The sequence below is a fragment of the Homo sapiens genome, chromosome 13, assembly GCF_000001405.40.
Source record: "Homo sapiens chromosome 13, GRCh38.p14 Primary Assembly".
NCBI classification, from domain to species: Eukaryota; Metazoa; Chordata; class Mammalia; order Primates; family Hominidae; genus Homo; species Homo sapiens.
Window position 1 is genome coordinate 25,531,566 of NC_000013.11, and position 19,090 is coordinate 25,550,655.

Consider the following 19,090-nt stretch of genomic DNA (forward strand, 5'->3'; position numbering starts at 1 on the left):
CTTTCTGGGAATAGGTATGTAAATAAATATAATACAGGTTAAGCATCCCTAAATCCAAAAACCCCAAATCTGAAATGCTTCAAAATCCAAAACTTTTGCATGCCGACATGATGCCACAAGTGGAAAACTCCACACCTGACCTCGTGTGATGGCTGCACAAAATTATTATAAACACTGTATGAAGTTACCTTCAGGTTATGTGCATAAAGTGAATATGAAGCATAAATAAATTTCATGTTTAGACTTGGGTCCCATCCCAGAGACACCTCATTGGGTATATGCAAATACTCCAGGATCTGAAACAATCTGAAATATGAAACACTTCTAGTCCCGAGCATGTCAGATAAGGGATCTTCAACCTGTACACATCGAAGCAAAGTTACTTTATCAATAAAATGAAGTTGGCTGTTTGTTGCTGGGTTTATCACACTGAATAATCATTTCAGTCTGATCTAAAGCAAGGAGTGAAAAGTTTTGTACTTCCAAGTGCTAGAACCAAAATAAAATAATTGAAACTAGAGGAGACCACTTCTAAACTTAGGGAGTGCTGATAGATCACAAAATTGTCTAACTGAATTTTACAGCATGAGCATTATTGGCATTTAGTTTCCTTGTCCCCTGTAATTTCCTGATTGTTTTGTTTGCTATTTCAATTATTCATGTGGAACTTTTGAATGTTAAACTATTTTTTTTCTTTCTGTAACAGAAGCGACACAAGGCAGACAATGCAGTTAACAAAAAGAAAACAATAGGTAAGATCCCAGGCTGAAGGACTTTTTCCACTGGAAAACTTAAGAATAAGGCCTGCATTTAAGGAATTTTAAATAAGTAGTGAATGGTATTGAGATAAATTGGGAAGATGATCTATAAAATAAAGAAATAGTAAAATAACAAACAAACTGAACATAATTTTAGTCCTGATAATTAAGTTTGAACAGCATTTGTGTATTTTAGAATGTTAGAAAAGGTTGTAATTTTCAGGAACTAGACAGTTTTTATGTCCATAAAAAGTCTAAGCATTCATGTCCTTCATTTATAATCTCTCCTTACTTCCCTCTTCTACTTTTTATTGTTTTATTTCTACAACATCAATTTTTTGTTTGTTTGTTTCATTTTTTGAGACAGGGTCTCACTCCTGTTGCCCAGGCTGGACTACAGTGGCATGATCATGGCTCACTGTAGCTTTGACCTCCCAGGCTCAGGTGATCCTCCCACCTCAGCCTCTTGAGTAGCTGGGACTACAGGCAAGCACCACCACCCCCGACTAATTTTTGTATTTTTGGTAGAGATGGGTTTCACCGTGTTGCCCAGGCTAGCCTCAAACTTCTGGGCTCAAGCAGTCTGCCTGCCTTGGCTTCCCAAAGTGTTAGGATTACAGGTATGAGCCACTGCGCCCAGCTGTTCAGTTTTTTTTAAATTGTGGAACAGCAGGCTTTTTTTTTCTTCTGGGCTGAAAATAAGTAGATTTAACTTACATACATACATAAACATTTATGTGTATGCATGAATGTATATATGTTACAGAGGTACATACCATACGTTGGTGTTCCATTTTGAGGGTGGGGGTGCTGATGTTATGCCATCATGGCTAAAGATAGGGTATGTTAGAATTAATAAATGGAATTCTAAAAGAAAGCTTTTGGATTTTAGGAAGCTGATTCAATTTAACACCAGTATTAACCAATATTTTATTTTTCTCTTTTTCAGTGTTAAGAAATGGTATGTGGCATACCATTATGTGGAAAGAGGTAAAAACTAATTTTAAAGATGTACCAGTACTATTGGTTTGAAGACGCGTAATGAATTGCTGGTCTTGATTGCAGTATAAAGTTTCTGTTAGACACAGTAGAGTTTTCCATGAGGTCTGCTGAGACCTGATGCGTGTTTACTCCTTCCCTTGCACCTTCTAGTAAGGGCCCAATGTGTCACTTCAAGCTATGAACTTCATCGCTCCTGAGTGACGTTTCTGAAATCTCAAAGTATTTTCTAGTTTCTAAATCCAATTTGAGAAATATTTTCCCTGGTCCTCTGTTGTCTTAACCTAAGTTAAAGTTTATTTTTGTTTTTAGCATTTGTGATTCTCACTTTAAACATTTTTGGGTGGAAAGGTCATTAACTACAGAGTGGTGGAAAGGGGGCAAGAAACCACCCCATTTCCGTTCTAGCACAGCAGTTAGCTGCTCTTAATAATAGCAAGGAAAGCTTTGCTTCCACGTCCCTGGAAGTATGAGGTTTAGAGGGTTGAAGAATGGTGTGGTTTTTTGGTTGTTTATGGTGATGAGTAGAAAATTTAGAAGAAATCTGCCATACCATCTAGGTATTTTATATCTCATAAAATTAGCTTTTTAAATGAGTGTTTTAGCTGGACCTTCTTAATGGACACAAGATGTGTTGGGGGATGACTCTCATTAGTCCAGCATTCAAAGCCGATTAACATGATTTCAAAAGAAAACAGCTTTTTAGAAGGGTAACTTGAAGTGGTTCTTCTTGCTAAATAAACATTTAATAAACAATGTTTTTAAATGCCTCTTACAGTCTTTTATATCTGAAAAATGCCCGTGATATGGTAACTGCAGCATTTGCTTTAGTTTTCGTTTTACTTTACTTTGTTTTAGGAGAATTCGCCACCCTTTAAAGAAATTTCTCCTTTATAGTGTTTTACAGTAACACCTTAACCTTTGCTGCAATCTTGAAGTCGTATGCTGCAAACATTCATCAACCTCACGTTTGGAAAGGTCATGGTTCTTGGTCAGGAGGTTGGGAATTCTTGACTCAAAGTGGGAGAGATGCTCCCAATGCTGAAGGAATTCAAGGGTTCTCCCAGCACTGGGAAATTGCCCCTCTATTTCTCTAGGGTTCTTCTTGTTACTCCCTCCCCAGAAAGGTATCAGTATCAGCTAGAGTGAAGAATGATTTGGATTCAGAGGGCCTGACATTACTTGAAACAGCAGAAAATGGAGTGATGGTCTCTAATTGATGGTCTTCTGTGGTCCAGGAGCTGACAGCTTTGCAGACTCCTAAAACTCATGACTGTTTCCATCGTTCATTTGGGAGAAAAACAACAATAACAAAGAAACACCAGTTATGTACTGTACCGCATGCAGTTTTATTTCCATTTAAAATGTATTTACTTGGTTTATTTCAGTGGAGCTCCTGGCATGTGCCAGAGATTGTACTAGGCATGGGAAGAATGAAGCTCAGCGCTTCCCTTAAGGAGTTTCAAACTTCAGTGGGCATCCCAGTCACCGTCCACAGAGCTGCTGGAACCCAGATGGCTGGGCCCACTCCCAGGCTATCTGATTCACTGGGTCTCAGGTGGGGCCCTAGAATTTGCACATTTAAACAAATTACTAGTTGAGGCTGATGCCGATGGTGTAGGGAGCACACTCAAGAACCACCGGTGTCCTGGGAGAGAGAGGCAACTAACCTAACGCAGTGCAGTTGCTGAGCTCTGTGTAGGAGAAAGCTTCCACTTTGGGAAGAGCTGGGAGGGGCCACCTACCTAGACCCAGTGGTTCAGATCAGGAAAGTCTGCCCTCCAGAGATGCTCTAGTGCGCTCTTGAAGGGTGAATCAGGGGTAACTAGCTGCGGAACTGTGAGTAGTTCAATGTGAGGATGAGAATACAGGAGAGGGCAGAGGTGTCAGGCAAGGGGAAGCTGGCTGTCCTTAAGGTCCCCAAAATGATAATAATCTAATCTGAAGTGCTGAAGCTCAGATCTGCTGTCCCCTGGGCTGTAGCTGAGTCACGGGTGAGCGCCAAGAGGCAGCTCTCAGGTGGATCTCAGTGGCTTTGATTGACTTCGAGAGGATCTTTCAGCTACTTCCTCAAAATTAAGAGACTTGAGGAACTCTCTGAGGCTAGAGTGGATTCAGGGATCTGGAAGGTTTCTGTTCCCAGTGTACTAATTCTTTGAGGGAGTATTGCACACACAAGGAACAATCATGTAAGAACATTAAAACCATTTCCAGGCCGGGCATGCTCACACCTGCAATCCCAGCACTTTGGGAGGCTGAGGCAGCTGGATCACTTTAGCTCAGGAGCTCAAGATCAGCCTGGGCAACATGGTCAAACCCCATCTCTACAAAAAAATACAGAAATCAGCTGGGCGTGGTGGTGCGTGTCTGTAATCCCAGCTACTCAGGAGGATGAGGTGGGAGGATCACTTGAGCATGGGAGGTGGAGGTTGCAGTGAGCCTTGATCGCACCACTGCACTCTAGCCTGGGTGACAGAGCGAGACCCTGTCTCAAAAACAGAAAACAAACAACCAAAAAAAAATTTTTTTTCAAGCAAAATCCAAGTAAGTCATTTCTTATGTACACAAAACTTCTTAGTACTTGGTTACTGGAATATGAATGTTTATTTAGAGAGTAAAGATGAGAGAAAGCCATAATTTCTCTTATCCTCCCACTTTGAATTTAAAAAAATCCACTGCCTTTTTTCATTTGAAAACATGACAAATTTTCTTGTCTAGTGGTTTTTTCTTTACTAATTACTTCTTCTGATTTTTATATGTAATTAAACTATTCATATGAAATCGTTTTAATTTTATTTTATTCTTTTTAGACGGAGTCTCGCTCTGTTGCTCAGGCTGGAGTGCAGTGGTGCCGTCTTGGCTCACTGCAACCTCTGCCTCCTGGGTTCAAGCGATTCTCCTGCCTCAGCCTCCCAAGTAGCTGGGACTACAGGTGCCCACCACCATGCCCGGTTAATTTTTTTTTTTTTTTTTAGTGAGATGGGGGTTTCACCATGTTAGCCAGGCTGGTCTTAAACTCCTGACCTCAAGTGATCTGCCTGCTTCGGCCTCCCAAAGTGTTGGGATTATAGGCGTGAGCCACTGTGCCTGGCCAAAATATTTTTTACTTTTAAAAAACACTTTCAATTGACATAACATCCATTGCTTTTGTACTGGTGGTTGTTAAAACAGCTTTGTGGCATTTTCCCCAGACACTTTAATAAACAACTTAAAGCACCAATAGGATACCTTTCAGTAAATTTGCCTTTTTCCCAACAGAAAATTAAACATGGGCACCTGCTAGCTTGTAAGATCTGGCAGTTTTTCACAAGTTTCGTATCACTTGAAATTCCTGGTTTCTAAGAGAATAGTAACATGGCTAGAATAGGAAATAGAAAGCATAAATGCCCACTTTGAGCTTTGCAACTATTACTGTACTAGTAATGGTCTTCTGGTATCGTCAGAGAATTCTAATGTCCTTGACCTTCACACTCATGATGTCCTTTCAGTTATGCTCCCACTGATGGAGACTGACATTTATATGGACCTGTTTTATGCCAGGTGCCGTGTATACTTCCTTAGTCACTGCATTCACCTTACAAGGCCGGTGGCACTGTTTTCCTGTTTCAGACATGACACGCTGGGGCGCTGGGAGGTGAAGCAGCTTGCGGAGATCACAAAGCTAGCACACGGCTATAAAGCTAGGATTGGAGTTAGGCTTGCCTGATTTGAAAGCCCCTGTTCTCTCTACCCTAGTGCTTTCTGCGATGTTACTGAAAGGATTGGTAGACACTTCGCCATGGTACCATTTTGGAGACTACAGCCCTTTTCCTTGGCTTGAGATCTTCTGTCTAGTGGAGTCTGTTCCCCAAGGTGGTCTCTGACTTTGGCCGTGATCCTTTTTCTGGGAATTTCTTGAGGCTGTACAAATCTTCTCCATTTTATGTGGTATATTTCCAGGGGGACTTTCAGGTGCACTTTTCATGGGTGAATTTACTGTTGCCTTTTAATCAGAGCATTGGCCTTCCGTGCAGCTTGCCCAGTTTTGAATCCTGGTTCTAACACTCAGTGGCTGTATTACTGTGATCAAGTTATTTTGTTTTCTGCACCTCAATTTGTAAAACAGAGAAAAATTTATAAAACAGAGAAAAATTTATGTGTGTTAACTTAGTTGATCCTTGTAGTCACTCTATGAAATATGTGCCTTTATCCTCATTATATAGATGAGGAAACTGAGGCACACAGAGTTTATATAACTTGTTCATCATTACACAGCTCATCAGGGGTGCAGTGGGGATTGAGCCCAGGCTTTAGGCTGGCTCTGGTGGTGTGTGCGTGACCGTTCTACCCTACTGTATACAGCTATGGAAATGCTGAAGTATTTGTAAATGGATGCATAATTGTAAGAAAACGAGATCTTTATAGCTGTTCTGACTTAGCCCTTTTCTCCCTTTCCCTTTCCTTTTTTATTAAACATCATTGCAAAAAAAGGCAACATTACCAGTGTCTGCATGGAAGCACTTTCCTTTTGTTCTTGTCAAGGAAAATAATTTGGGCTTCTCTATCTTAAACTTCATGGCTTAGTTATATAATAATTTTTTCTTCAAATATTTAAGCACCTTTTTCACCATGTGTGTTTTGTTTCTTTTCTTTCGTGCCCCTCTGTCCTCATCCCTGTCTCTCTAGGTGGCAGTGGGAGACATTGTGAAGGTCGTCAATGGGCAGTATCTTCCAGCAGATGTGGTCCTGCTGTCATCCAGGTTAGCTGTGCTAGTAGGCACCTTTTTTGCAATAAATGTTAAGAACAATAAAATATTAAGCAGCACCTGGGGCAGTCTTGAGCAGCCTGTTCCCTTCTACCATCCTCTCTCTGTCCCATTCTTCCATTTCTTGTCATTTCCCTTCTCCTGCCATGACCCTTGGTTTCTTTCTCACATTCATTCCTTTGTGCTTTTTCTGAACTCTTTTATGTGTGTTGACTCCACTTAGTCTCCTGGCTATTTGGGGTTTTTTTCTTATTTATAGGGGCACTGAGTCAAGAGCAGTGGAGTGGTCCATTCATTAATGTCAGGTTGCAGCATATCTGAGATTTCAGAATCTGTTTCCTGATGGGCCCTGCCAGCAGTCTGTCCTGCAGAACCCAGTGCTGCACATTGATAGCTGTTCAAGAACCGTGGGTGTTTTCTCAGCGTAATCGTGACCAGCAGATGGTGTTTGCTCTTCATCCATCCATGTTTTGCCCCTTTTCTGTCCAAGTATCATTTTCATATTCTCTAGGTAGTTTTATTCTAGGAAGGAATCATCACTCAGTGCAGTTCTTGACTTTTTTGGGGCTTGGTGCATGAAAGTACATAGCTAGGAAAGAAAGCCAAAATTAGGGCAAGAATTGACATCTATTCTTGAATTCAAGATTAAATTGTGTGACGTTAGGACTATAACTTCCTATATTTATACACTGTTGGGAATCATAGATCGGCATGCTGTTTGCATTTTCTTTGATTGCAGACAGCGTTTCTTGTATTGAAGTTAATCACTCATTGGATTTTAAGCCTAAGCATTAATTTTCTGCTTGAGATAATAGATTTAAAAATAGGACTCCAGGCCTGTGGAGGGGGAAAAAGAACCAATAACACAGGGCAGGATTTATGTTTGTCCATATTGATTGACAACAAAGAAACCGTTAGAAATATTAAAATATTGATCACTTGATAGTTCGGGCTTTAAGTCTTTAAGTCTTGGCTGTGACCTTAGAAAATTTAGTGTGTGTGTGTGTGTGTGTGTGTGTGTGTGTGTGTGTGTTTTGTTTTGTTTTGGAGACAAGGTCTTACTCTGTCACCCAGGCTGGAGTGCAGTGGCTCAATCATAGCTCACTGTAAGTTCAAACTCCTGGGCTCAAGTGATCCTCCCATCTCAGCCTCCTGAGTAGCTGGGACCACAGGTGCATGCCACCATGCCTGGCTAATTTTTAAAAATTTTTTTGTAGAGGCTCATTTTTAAAAATTTTTTGTAGATGTTGCCCAAGCTTGTTCTGGAACTCCTGGCCTCAAGCAATCCTCCCGCCTTGGCATCTCAAAGTGCTGGGGTTACAAGCGTGAGCCACAGTGCCCAGCCAGTTTTTTTTTTTTAACTTGGTCTTAATACCAGATTGCTTTAGCTGACATCATGTTTCCAGCATGCTCATTATTAGTGTCTGAGTGTGTGCTGTGTGCTGAACAACCTGTTGAGGAGGTTGTCCCACTTAATCTTCCCAATAACCCTGGATAGCCTTCTTTTGTACATGACAAGATTGAGATACGGAGAGACTAAACAATTTGCCAAGGCCATATAGCCCATAAAGGTAGTGCTAGGGGATTTTTACCTTAACTAGTGGTTTTTTAGTTGGAAGAGTCAAGGGGTGGTTAATCACTAACTGTGTGAACCTAGCTAAACTCAAAGATTAGAAATAGGATTATAATATCTGTTATGCTTATTTTTATTTTTCGAGTTTTCTATCTTTAATGCTAGGTGTTTTGATTAAAAAGTTGGACTCGAGATGTAAAAATGGCAGAGAATTAAAGCCTTGCCAAGCCTGTGCCTCGATCCTTCAACTCCTCTGGCTGTTGTTTTCTTCAAAAAATGTGTGTTTCTACTGGCCATGCCTTGGGCAGCCTTTTTGGTCAGGCCCAGCCCCAGACTTGAAGGATTGCCTGAACCCAGTGGTTGGGTCTGACTGGGGACATCACATGTTTCCCTTTCTCTTTCATCTTCAGTTCATTCCTGTCTTCTTGAGGCTCAGCAGTCATTATGTGGGGCTTACAAAGGCAGATCATCTGGGCAAATGACTCTCTACTGGTACTGAGTCCCAAAGATGAGTGTGTGTTTCCTTTTTCATCCATTACTCCTACTATCGTGGTTATTTATAACAATTTATTTTGAAGGGCCAATCAGCAGACACAGATTCCATAATAGAGATTTTCTAAACTGTGAATTTGTGGAAAGGACCTTATGAAACTTGGCTCTTTTTTTCTCTCTCCTTAGTGAACCTCAGGCAATGTGTTATGTTGAAACAGCTAATCTGGATGGGGAGACGAACCTTAAAATACGTCAGGTAAAGTCACCTCTGATGACTTGTGTTGTTATGGTAGACACAACTGCAAATGTGGTCCCCACATATCTTTTTCTAGAGAAATAAAATATTCAGCCACAAAGGGTTATGCCTTAGCCCTAATGGAATCTATGGGAAGAATATGCCATTTATGATGAGAGAGAATGTGTCTCGAAAAAGTAGGCTGCATCAAACTCTAGGTCATGCAGGGTGCCAGGCCTTCATATAGCGTCTTATTGAGTTCTCTGCCTGTGATGCTGGAGAGAGGGGACATCTCGATGAAGCTGAGTGGCTGGGAAGGACACAGCTTAGTGGACAAATGGAGCAGAAAAGCTCCAGGTACCCCAGTTTACATCATTGTTGTAATAAAGATTCTAATCCTAGAGGGTGATATAATTAGATAAAAAACTTCCATGCCTTAAAGAAAACTATTCTTACCATATATTTTAATTCTAGGATGAAGAATAGTCTTTTTTGGTTCTTTTTTTTTTTTTGAGATGGAGCCTTGCTCTGTTGCCCAGGCTGGAGTGCAGTGATGCGACCTCGGCTTACTACAACCTCTGCCTCCCGGGTTCAAGCGATTCTCCCACCTTAGCCTCCCGAGTAGCTGGGACTACAGGTGCATGCTACTACACCTGGCTTAATTTTTATATTTTTTTAGTAGAGATGGGGTTTCACCATGTTGGCCAGGCTGGTCTCGAACCCCTGAACTCAAGTGATCTGCTTGCTTTGGCCTCCCAAAGTGCTGGGATTACAGGCATGAGATACTGCACCTGGCCAAGAATGAAGAATGGTCTTTAACATATAAAAATTTTAAGCACTTTGAAGCTTAAAAAACTTTTGCTGCTTAAAGTTGAATTCAGCAATTCTATCCATATATCTTTCTTTTCTACTGTAGATATTTGCTTTAGACTTTTTTTTTCCATTTAAAGAACAGTTACAGCCTGGGCAACATAGCAAGACCCTATCTCTACAAAAAACTTAAAAAATAGCTGGGCATGATGGCACATACCTGTAGTCCCAGCTACTTAGGAGGCTGAGGTGGGAGGATCACTTGAGCTCAGGATTTTGAGCCTTCAGTGAACCATGATTGCACCACTGCCCTCCAGCCTGGAGGACAGAGTGAGACCCTGTCTCTTAAAGAAAAAGTGAAGAGTGCTAGATAATGTAAAATATTGGAGGGCTACTCTATTCTATCTTTATGACCAGTGTTAGAGTACAGCTAGTAGATTATGCTTGCTGTAAGGTGCTGGGGTATGTTAATTATTACTTATGCACGGATGTTTCTAGTACAGTGGTGGAATCTTAACTTTCAGCTTCATTACATTCTTTTGCCACTTTTGCATTAGATCGTTGTGGCAAAAGCTACTGGAAAAGTCTGCCTTGAGGGGCTGACAGTTTGACTTGTTAGCCCCCCAAATTATTGCACTGGAGATGCCTTATTTTTCCTTTTGATTAACCATAGGGATGCTGAATGGTGTCCCTAAGCACAGAAGATTGTGTTTGACTTCCTCTTTTGGTTTAATCTTTTAGGGTTTGAGTCACACTGCTGACATGCAAACACGTGAAGTTCTGATGAAGTTATCTGGAACTATAGAGTGTGAAGGGCCCAACCGCCACCTCTATGACTTCACTGGAAACTTGAACTTAGATGGGAAAAGGTATTATATGCCTTTTCTTCATTGTCTTTTAAACTATGTGACTAAGAATTACTGGAGCTTTGGAAAATATGTTTGTTTCCTAGTTTTGTAATATTTTAAAACAGTGAGATTTCATACCCTTTCAATTAATTTAAAGCCTTCCTTAGATTTAAGAAAAAAACCCTGAGCCCAAGGGCCTCAGATGAGGCTCAAAGCATGTGGCATATTCTTTCTGTGCCTACTCTCTGCCAGGCAGGAGAAATGGTTTTAGCTGCATAAAATTGTCCAGAAAAGCAGAGGAGAGTTATCTGAGGTGTATACAAGCTAATACACTTGTTACAGAAATGTGTGTATGTGTATTTTTTTTTTTTTTTTGCTAACCACCTTCTAAGGAGCGTTCATTTGTTTTTAGAAAGTTGAGTGAAATGAACACTTATTCTTCCTTTAGAATATTCAGTGCCCTCCTGTCTATATTCTGTTATCTTTGTTCTTCTGGCATTTGTTATGTTGTTCTGGAGTTGTCTTTTGTTCTGATGTTGGAGAGCAGTTTCTACCTTCTGGCCATGTTTGTCTAGAGCCTCTTGCCAATGCCCCCTCCAACCCTGTAACCCAGCCTCTTGCAATGTCCTTTATATTTTGACGACCCAAGGCTTGGAAGGACCTGATCATAGGAATCAACCCAAATTATTATAAATATGACAACTAAGTGTGACTGCTTCTTGGTTTCATTTAGCATACATAGCTATACTATGGGCTCCCCATTCTGAGTTTCTAAATTGTCACTCAGGTCTTTATTTACTCATTAAGTCATCCTTAAAAAAATTGATATGATAGGTTGCTGCTTTTTAAAATTTTACTCCTTCCTAATAGTCTGTAAAATACACTAGATTTATTTTACAAATAATAATAATAATACTTCCAATAATAATACTTAACTACAAATGAGTAAGCTTTGGTTGTTATTTTAGCAACTTCCTTTCTGGGTATTGAGTTTCATAACAGGATCATGAGAGATATAATTACCTGCAACATTTTATAGAAAAAGCATTTTTTTTCTGTAGTGATGAATGTAAAATAAAGCTTTCTGTGGGTCCTTTTGGGGTAGATTAAGCCAATGGTAACCTTTGTTGTCTGTGTTTCTCAGTGAAGTAGTTCAAATTGGAGGAAAGGGAACATTTGATTTATTGTGGGTTCATGTTTAAGGGAAAAACTCATGCTTATTTTCCAGACTATCATTAAATATCATTGTTGTTTTTTATTTTTAGCCTTGTTGCCCTTGGGCCTGACCAGATCTTATTAAGAGGTACACAGCTTAGAAATACTCAGTGGGTCTTTGGCATAGTTGTTTATACTGGACACGACACCAAACTCATGCAGGTAAAACATTTCTATGCTGATTTCAGTCTTTTTTTTCTTTCTGCTTTTATTGACTAGAAGGTGGAAAATGCAGATGTTGCATTTAGGAAGTTCAAATTTGTCTATGAACCTAAATTTGGAAAGAACTGCCTTTATTTTAGTTTCTTAGGTAGCTTTTTCTAGATTTCTGTTCTCTTATCTGATATTTGTTACCGTATGCCTGAACTACAAATGGTCTTTGTTTTCTGGATTAGGGGAACAATCAATTCTAACTTATTTTATCTTCTGGACTTAAGCGGGAATTAGTTCTAACTTTTAAATTTCTCTTTCTACTTCTCCTCTTTATCCCATTAATTAGGATTTTATAGCAAATTGCCTTATTTAACTGAACTTTAGAGACTTTAAAATCAGTTATTTTTGAACCGTTTAGTTTTCATAGACCGAAGAAAAAAATGAAGTTAAAATGATTTTGCTCTTTTTCCCTGTTAATGTTTTTTAAAAAACTGTTTGTGAATTTATAGGTCACATTGCTATTATGATGTATTTTGCCAGACACCTTTTGAAATTCTACAGAAATCAGTGTCCCTGTATGTCATTTCTTACATTTGTTTGGTATCACTTGGCATCTTATTTTTGCCAATGGTGGCTATTAATGAGAATTGGCTTTTCAGCTTGTCTGTTCTTTTGTATAACTTCTAAAATGCACATTTGGCTGTATTTCTTGATTTAAAAATATTTAGTGACCACGTACCAAGTCTAGTGCTAGACCATATGGGTGCAATAGTGAAAGGCCCAGGCTTATCCTCGGGGAGCCAGTTGGGCTAAGGAGTAATATAGAATGACAAAGTAGAGAGAGAGATACTGGAATGTGTGTCATTACTAAGTGCTGTCAGTGTGTATAGGAGGGTCATTCAACCTAGGCTGGAAGCCAGTGGACTACATGCTAAGAATGATTCCCGTGGCAGAAGCACATTTTAGATATCGAGCTAGGGAAGGGAGACTGTTGTGTTGGTCTCCTCTTTGAGGTCAAATGATAGTCAGATGAAAGAGGTAAGTATTAGAGGAGATGAAGCAGTAGACGTTGGTGGCCACCGCAGCTAGTAAACACATTGGAGACAGGGAGGAGAGATGGGATTAGAAGGGTTGAGAGACTCCCTGAAGTTGAAGAGGATTGTTGGAGTTGCTGAGTGACAGGCTGATCAGTGGGTAGAATCTTGTCTTTGTATTTCTGGGGTAGAGAGTTTCTAGCATGGGAGACCTGGGAGTGACTCGTGTGAGTAGGAAGACAAAGGCAGAGCTGTTGAAGGCCATTCAATGTTGACAAGTAAGGAACTGAGAGACTAAGGCATTTGATGGGCCAGTGCTGTGATTTTGAAGATGCGATAATGATGAAGCTGGGCCAGAAAGGAATGCCATGAGCCAGTTGTCAAGTCTTCTGTGAGTGACAGGGAGCAACTGAGAGGTGTGGCCTGGCTACGGGGGAGGGGCAGAAGGTAGTGTAGCCAAATGGCGTGAATTTTATGAGTGAGTTTTTTTTTTTTTTTTTTTAACATGGCATCCAAGGAATAAAGGTCTAGAAGTATTACTAGGTCTTGAATATACATCCAGTAATGCTACCTTCAGAGGCCAAAGGATGCAGATGTCTACTGGCGCACCGTCTGCTTGGGGGTACTCAAGGGAGGCGTGTCCTTGACTTGTGAGGCAAGGAGGAGAGAGCTCTTGAGGGAGTGGGAGTACAGAGGGAAGTTCAGGAGCTGGAAGGGTAGGGGCCCAGGTGCAGTGGCCTGTTGCAGAGCTTGTGTGTTGAAGCAAGGCGGGAGGGCTCCATGGCAGCTAGAAAAATGAAGAGTTGGTGAATGCTGAGAGGCAGCTCTTGGGTGGATCAGGATTATTTAGTGTATCTGAAGTGTGCCTGATCCATCGCCCCTGCTAGGTCCTTATCCATTCACAAGGGCTGACTGGAATGCTTTAAGTTTATTGTTTCTGAGCGGCCTGCATATGAAGACTTTATCTTGATGAATAGTTTAGTGCTGTAGCCATGCAAGAACTCAGGAGGCTGAGATGGGTGGCTCATTGGGACCAGGAGTTTGAGACCAGCCTGGGTGACATAGTGAGACCCCATTTCAAAAAAAAAAATAGTTTAGTACCCTGCTACCTAGAAAGTATCCTTTAACTCCCATAGTGCAGTGTCAGTAACCCTTGCTGCACGCTTTGGGAGCTCCACTAACCACAAATCACTACTTCTGGCTTTTGTTTGTTTGTTTGTTTTTTGAGACAGGGTCTGGCTTTGTTGCCCAGGCTGGAGTGTGGTGGCGCGATCTTGGCTCACTGCAACCTCAGCCTCCCAGGCTCAAGCCATCCTCCCACCTCAGCCTACTGAGTAGCTGGGACTGTAGGCACACACCACCATGCCCGGCTAATTTTTGTATTTTTTGTAGAGACGGGATTTCACCATGTTGCCCAGGCTGGTCTTGAACTTCTGAACTCAAGCGATCCACCCACCTTGGCTTCCCAAAGTGTTGGGATTACAGGCATGAGCCACAGTTCCCAGCCTACTTCTGTTTTTTATGATGAAGTGGCAGACAGATCATGGGTAGCTAGCTCACATTTGGTCAAGGCCCCAAAGCTAGTTTTAAGATTGTGCATATTATAAATTTAAGCACTTTCCAATATTTCTTATACACTGGGTTTTTTTTTTAACAGATTGTAATATGGTTTTTCTAGAGCATACATTGGTAATATAGCTTTTGCTCTAGAAAACCAATATTACATGAGTTAATTAAACTATCTTTTAAAACGCTCCAGTCTTCTCTTCAGTGAGTAAGGCATGCACTGAGTTTGCATTTTGTGAGTGTGAGAGGCACTTTTCCTTGTCCCTAGGTGTGAGAAACCTCTTTGCAAGGCTTCTTGCATGTTGACTGCTCATGTATAGAATGATGGAAAACCCCAGAAACATCTGTGCTAGACCTGCTGTGCCTTTAGGGCTGAAACAACAGGTAAAAATAATGAGCTTTCAAAAGGAATATAACACACATAGCTGGAAGCCATCCTGTTTGTGAAATAACATTGTTTGTCTGTGCTTGTGCTACTTGACCACAGAGAGGAAACTCAATTGCTGTCGGGTTCTTCTACCTTTTTTTTTTTTTTTGAAGTCTCTCACCTCAATGCCTTTTGCCCTTCAAGTTTCCTTCAGTTCATGTTTAGTTTACTTACATGTAGAAATATTTATGTCTATAATTTCTATTAGTTGATTTAATGGGAAAAAGAGCGATTATCACACTAATTACAGCGAACATAATTACAACAAATCATGCACTATTTTGAGTGATGCACATATATCAATTCATTTATTCCTCACAATGGCTAGGTAGTATGTGCTCATTTTACAGATGAGGAGGCTTGCAGCATAGAGTCTCCTAGTAACCCAAGCTTACAAAACTAGTAGGATTCAAAACACAGGCAGTCTGGCCGGGGGCAGTGGCTCACGCCTGCAATCCCAGCACTTTGGGAGGCTGAGGCGGGTGGATCACTTGAGGTCAGGAGTTCGAGACCAGCCTGGCCAACATGGTGAAACCCCATCTCTACTAAAAATACAAAAATTAGCTGGGCATGGTGGTGCATGCCTGTAATCCCAGCTACTCAGGAGGCTGAGGCAGGAGAATTGCCTGAACCCAGGAGGCAGAGGTTGCAGCGAGCCAAGATTGTGCTGCTGCCCTCCAGCCTGGGTGACAGAGCCAGGCTCCGTCTCGAAATAAATAAATAAATAAATAAAAATAAAAAATAAACAAATAAAATAAACAAAACACAAGCAGTCAAACTCCAGAGTCAGTGTAACCCAGGAGTCCCCAAGCCCCAAGCCACAGACTGGTACCAGTCTGTGGCTGTGAAGAACCAGGCCCTACAGCAGGAGGAGAGTGGCAAGCAAGCTAGTGAAGCTTCATCTGTATTTACAGCAGCTCCCCATCCCTCACATTACTGCCTGAGCTCTGCCTCCTGTCAATCAGCGGTGGCATTAGATTCTCATAGGAGCGTGAACTCTGTTGTGAACTGCGCATACAAGGGATCTAGGTTGCTCATTCCTTATGAGAATCTAATGCCCAGTGATCTGTCACTGTCTCCCATCACCTGCAGATGGGACTGTCTAGTTGCAGGAAGACAAGCTCAGGGCTCCCACTGATTCTACATTATGGTGAGTTGTATAATTATTTCACTACACACTACAATGTAAGAGTAATAGAATTAAAGTACACAATAAATGTAATGCACTTGAGTCACCCCAAAACCATCCCCACCCAAGTCTGTGGAAAAATTGTCTTCCACGAAACCAGTACCTGGTGCCAAAAAGGTTGGGGACAGCTTTTCTAACTAGAATTCAATGGCCTGTTTCTCAGGAGGGAATAAAATATCTAAGATACAGGTCTGATTTCAGCTTTTCAAAATCTGACATTTTGACCTGTTTCTATTTATAAGTCCGTTACACTGAAGTAGCTGGGTTCTTCAAGAATTTTATGGAAGAATTTATAATACTTGTAGGAATTTAACATTAAAAGCTCATCATTGGGCCAGGTGCGGTGGCTCACACCTGTAATCCTAGCACATTGGGAGGCGGAGGTGGGCAGATTGCCTGACCTCAGGAGTTCAAGACCACCCTGGGCAACATGGTGAGACCCCTGTCTCTACTAAAAATACAAAAAATTAGCTGGGCGTGGTGGTATGCACCTGTGGTTCCAGCTACTATGGAGGCTGAGGCAGAAGAATCGCTTGAACCTGGGAGGCAGAGGTTGCAGTGATCCATGATCACGCCACTGCACTCCAGCCCAGGTGACAGAGTAAGACTCTGTCTCCAAAAAACAAACAAACAAACAAAACAAAAGAAAACCCATCATTGATCATTGCAAGTAAAAATGTTCAGGGGGTGGGAGTCAGTAGGCCAAGGTTGGCTTTCCACAAAGTGCACATGTTGAAGCTTGAAGTTTTGGGATTGTTCCTCTTCTGTTAGATGAAAGATAAAGTTTTCTAATCCTCCTAATTGGCCAGAATTCAGCCACTGAAAAAGATAAAAAGTCAATAATAAATGGGGTATAGAAATGAGGTTTATGATAATTTTTTTCCTGCCTGTACATTTAGTGAATATTTATTAAGAATGATGAGATCTTGCTTAGTTTTTAAGAGTTAGGATGACCAGTCCTGGACCTGGCCTGCTGGCCCTTACGTTGAGGCCAGACCTGGATGTGTCGTCTCAGTTGACCTTGATACAGTATTTGATTGATGATAAGTTGGCCTTTACTAATGGATTTCCATTTAGACTCCTGAGGATTTTTAAGTCCGTAAAGGATGAATAATTTAGACAAATAAAGTAAAAGGGAAAAAATAGAAATAAAGGAAAAAGCTGCTGTGTTGTTTAGATATTTAAAGGACTTAGCTTTTCAAAATCACCAGTACAATCCCCCAACTCCTCTGCCCCCAAAGAAAACTGTGGGGAGATAGTATTTTTGGTTTGCCAATAGAATTCAAATAACAATTTCAGTGATGTGGTATAAATTTTTCTTGGAGCTTAGGAGTGAATTGCCTCATGTTTTCATCTCAGTTTTATTTTCACATTGTGACTTTATTTGTATTCTTATCTTTGGAGACATTTTCATCCTAGCTCTTTTAATGATCAGATCAATGGAGACTAGTGAAGGAGAATGCTGACTTAAGTTTGGCACAAGGTACCATTTTTATGGTTAGTGCCTTACAAACTCTCAGATTATCCAAACTTGGCAAATTGGTGTTGTCTCTTAAAAGTCCGGGCCCGGCCGGGCGCGGTGGCTCATGCCTGTAATCCCACCACTTTGGGAGGCCAAGACGGGCAGATGACAAGGTCAGGAGATTGAGACCATCCTGGCTAACATGGTGAAACCCCATTTCTACTAAAAATACAAAAAAATTAGTCGGGCATGGTGGCGCACACTTGTAATCCCAGCTACTTGGGAGGTTGAGGCAGGAGAATCACTTGAACCGGGGAGGCAGAGGTTGCAGTGAGCCGAGATCGCACCACTGCACTCCAGCCTGGGCAACACGGTGAGACTCTGTCTCAAAAAAAAAAAAAAAAAGCCTGGGCCCATGATTCATGGAAGGAGACCTGCAGGCTGACACTCCTGTGTGAGCCTCTCCCTGTCCAATTCCTGACTTCTGATTTAAGTCAGGAATTATTTCACCCCCAGGAATGGATTATAAATAATTCCCCTGTGGCTTTCCTCTCTTCAGTGTCTCCTTCCCCAACCTGCTGTTATTACTGTACTGGTTTCCTCTGGCTGCTGTGACAGATTTCCACAGTTTTAGTGACTTAAAAAAACATGAGTTATTGTGCTGCAGTTCTATAGGTGAGAAGTCTACTATGAGTAGTAGACTCCCTGTGCTAAAACCCGAGATGTTGGCTGCTCTTTTCTGCAGGCTTCAGAGGGGACTCTCTCTGATCATTTCTCTGTCTCCACCTCTCCCTTTGAGCACAATTCAGAAAGCTTCTCCCTTTTGATGACCCTTGTGGTTAGATTGGGTCCACTTGGGTAATCCAGAATAATCTCTCCCTGTCTCACAGTTGTTAATTTAATTTAATCCCATCCGCAAAGTCCCTTTTGCTGTATAAAATAGCACACTCAGGTCAGGCATGGTGGCTCATGCCTGTAATCCCAGCACTTGGGGAGGCCGAGGAGGGTGGATCACCTGAGGTCAGGAGTTCGACACCAGCCTGGCCAATATGGTGAAACCCCATCTCTACTAAAAATACAAAAAATTAGTCGGGCGTGATGGTGGGCGCCTGTAGTCCCAGCTACTTGGGAGGCGAGGCACAAGAATTGCTTGAACCCAGGAGGCGGAGGTTGCAGTGAGCTGAGGTCACACCACTGGACTCCAGCCTGGGTGAGAGAGTGAGACTCCATCTCAAAAAATAAAATAAAATAACATACTCGCAGTGCCCCACAAGTAGGATGTGGGCATTACTGGTGGAGGAGGGGGTGGTCATTAGTTTGCCCACCATAAGTACCTTCAGATATTTTTTAATAAAATGACTTCAGGTGCATAACTGTCTTTCTCAAACAGTTGTGTTGACTTTCCCATGGCTGAGAGGATCTAGTCCCAAATGTTCCACCTGAACTGGAGTGATTCTTGAATCTAGCCTTAATGAATCTTTCTATACTCTCCTGCCAACACTGGCCTCAGCTCCACCTGGGCTGGTTTCCCCCCAGCAGTGAGAAGGCAGGTGCTAAGCCTGTGATAAGGTTGCCATTCTCCTT

The 19,090-nt window shown here is 41.5% G+C and overlaps 1 protein-coding gene across 13 annotated transcripts in view, besides 1 other annotated feature; it reads left to right on the forward strand.

The window, feature by feature from the left end:
- The window catches only part of ATP8A2 (ATPase phospholipid transporting 8A2), a 653,878-nt gene that overhangs the window by 159,592 nt on the left and 475,196 nt on the right, over positions 1–19,090 (forward strand). For 12 of the 13 annotated variants that reach the window (NM_016529.6, NM_001411005.1, NM_001411006.1 and 9 more), the window contains 6 exons: positions 707–752; positions 1,708–1,748; positions 6,423–6,496; positions 8,754–8,823; positions 10,354–10,481; positions 11,726–11,837. In NM_016529.6, the coding sequence (NP_057613.4) occupies positions 707–752; positions 1,708–1,748; positions 6,423–6,496; positions 8,754–8,823; positions 10,354–10,481; positions 11,726–11,837 (471 nt within the window). Of the gene's footprint in view, positions 1–706; positions 753–1,707; positions 1,749–2,935; positions 3,082–6,422; positions 6,497–8,753; positions 8,824–10,353; positions 10,482–11,725; positions 11,838–19,090 lie in introns of those variants that run through there. The other variant, XM_024449369.1, reaches the window with a different exon arrangement.
- Positions 12,889–13,420: an enhancer, noted in NCBI's record as "NANOG hESC enhancer chr13:26118592-26119123 (GRCh37/hg19 assembly coordinates)". NCBI's record gives its function as "activates a minimal SCP1, AML or CMV promoter by ChIP-STARR-seq in naive H9 embryonic stem cells {active_cell/tissue: H9 hESC(naive)}" and the evidence as "EXISTENCE:reporter gene assay evidence [ECO:0000049][PMID:30033119]".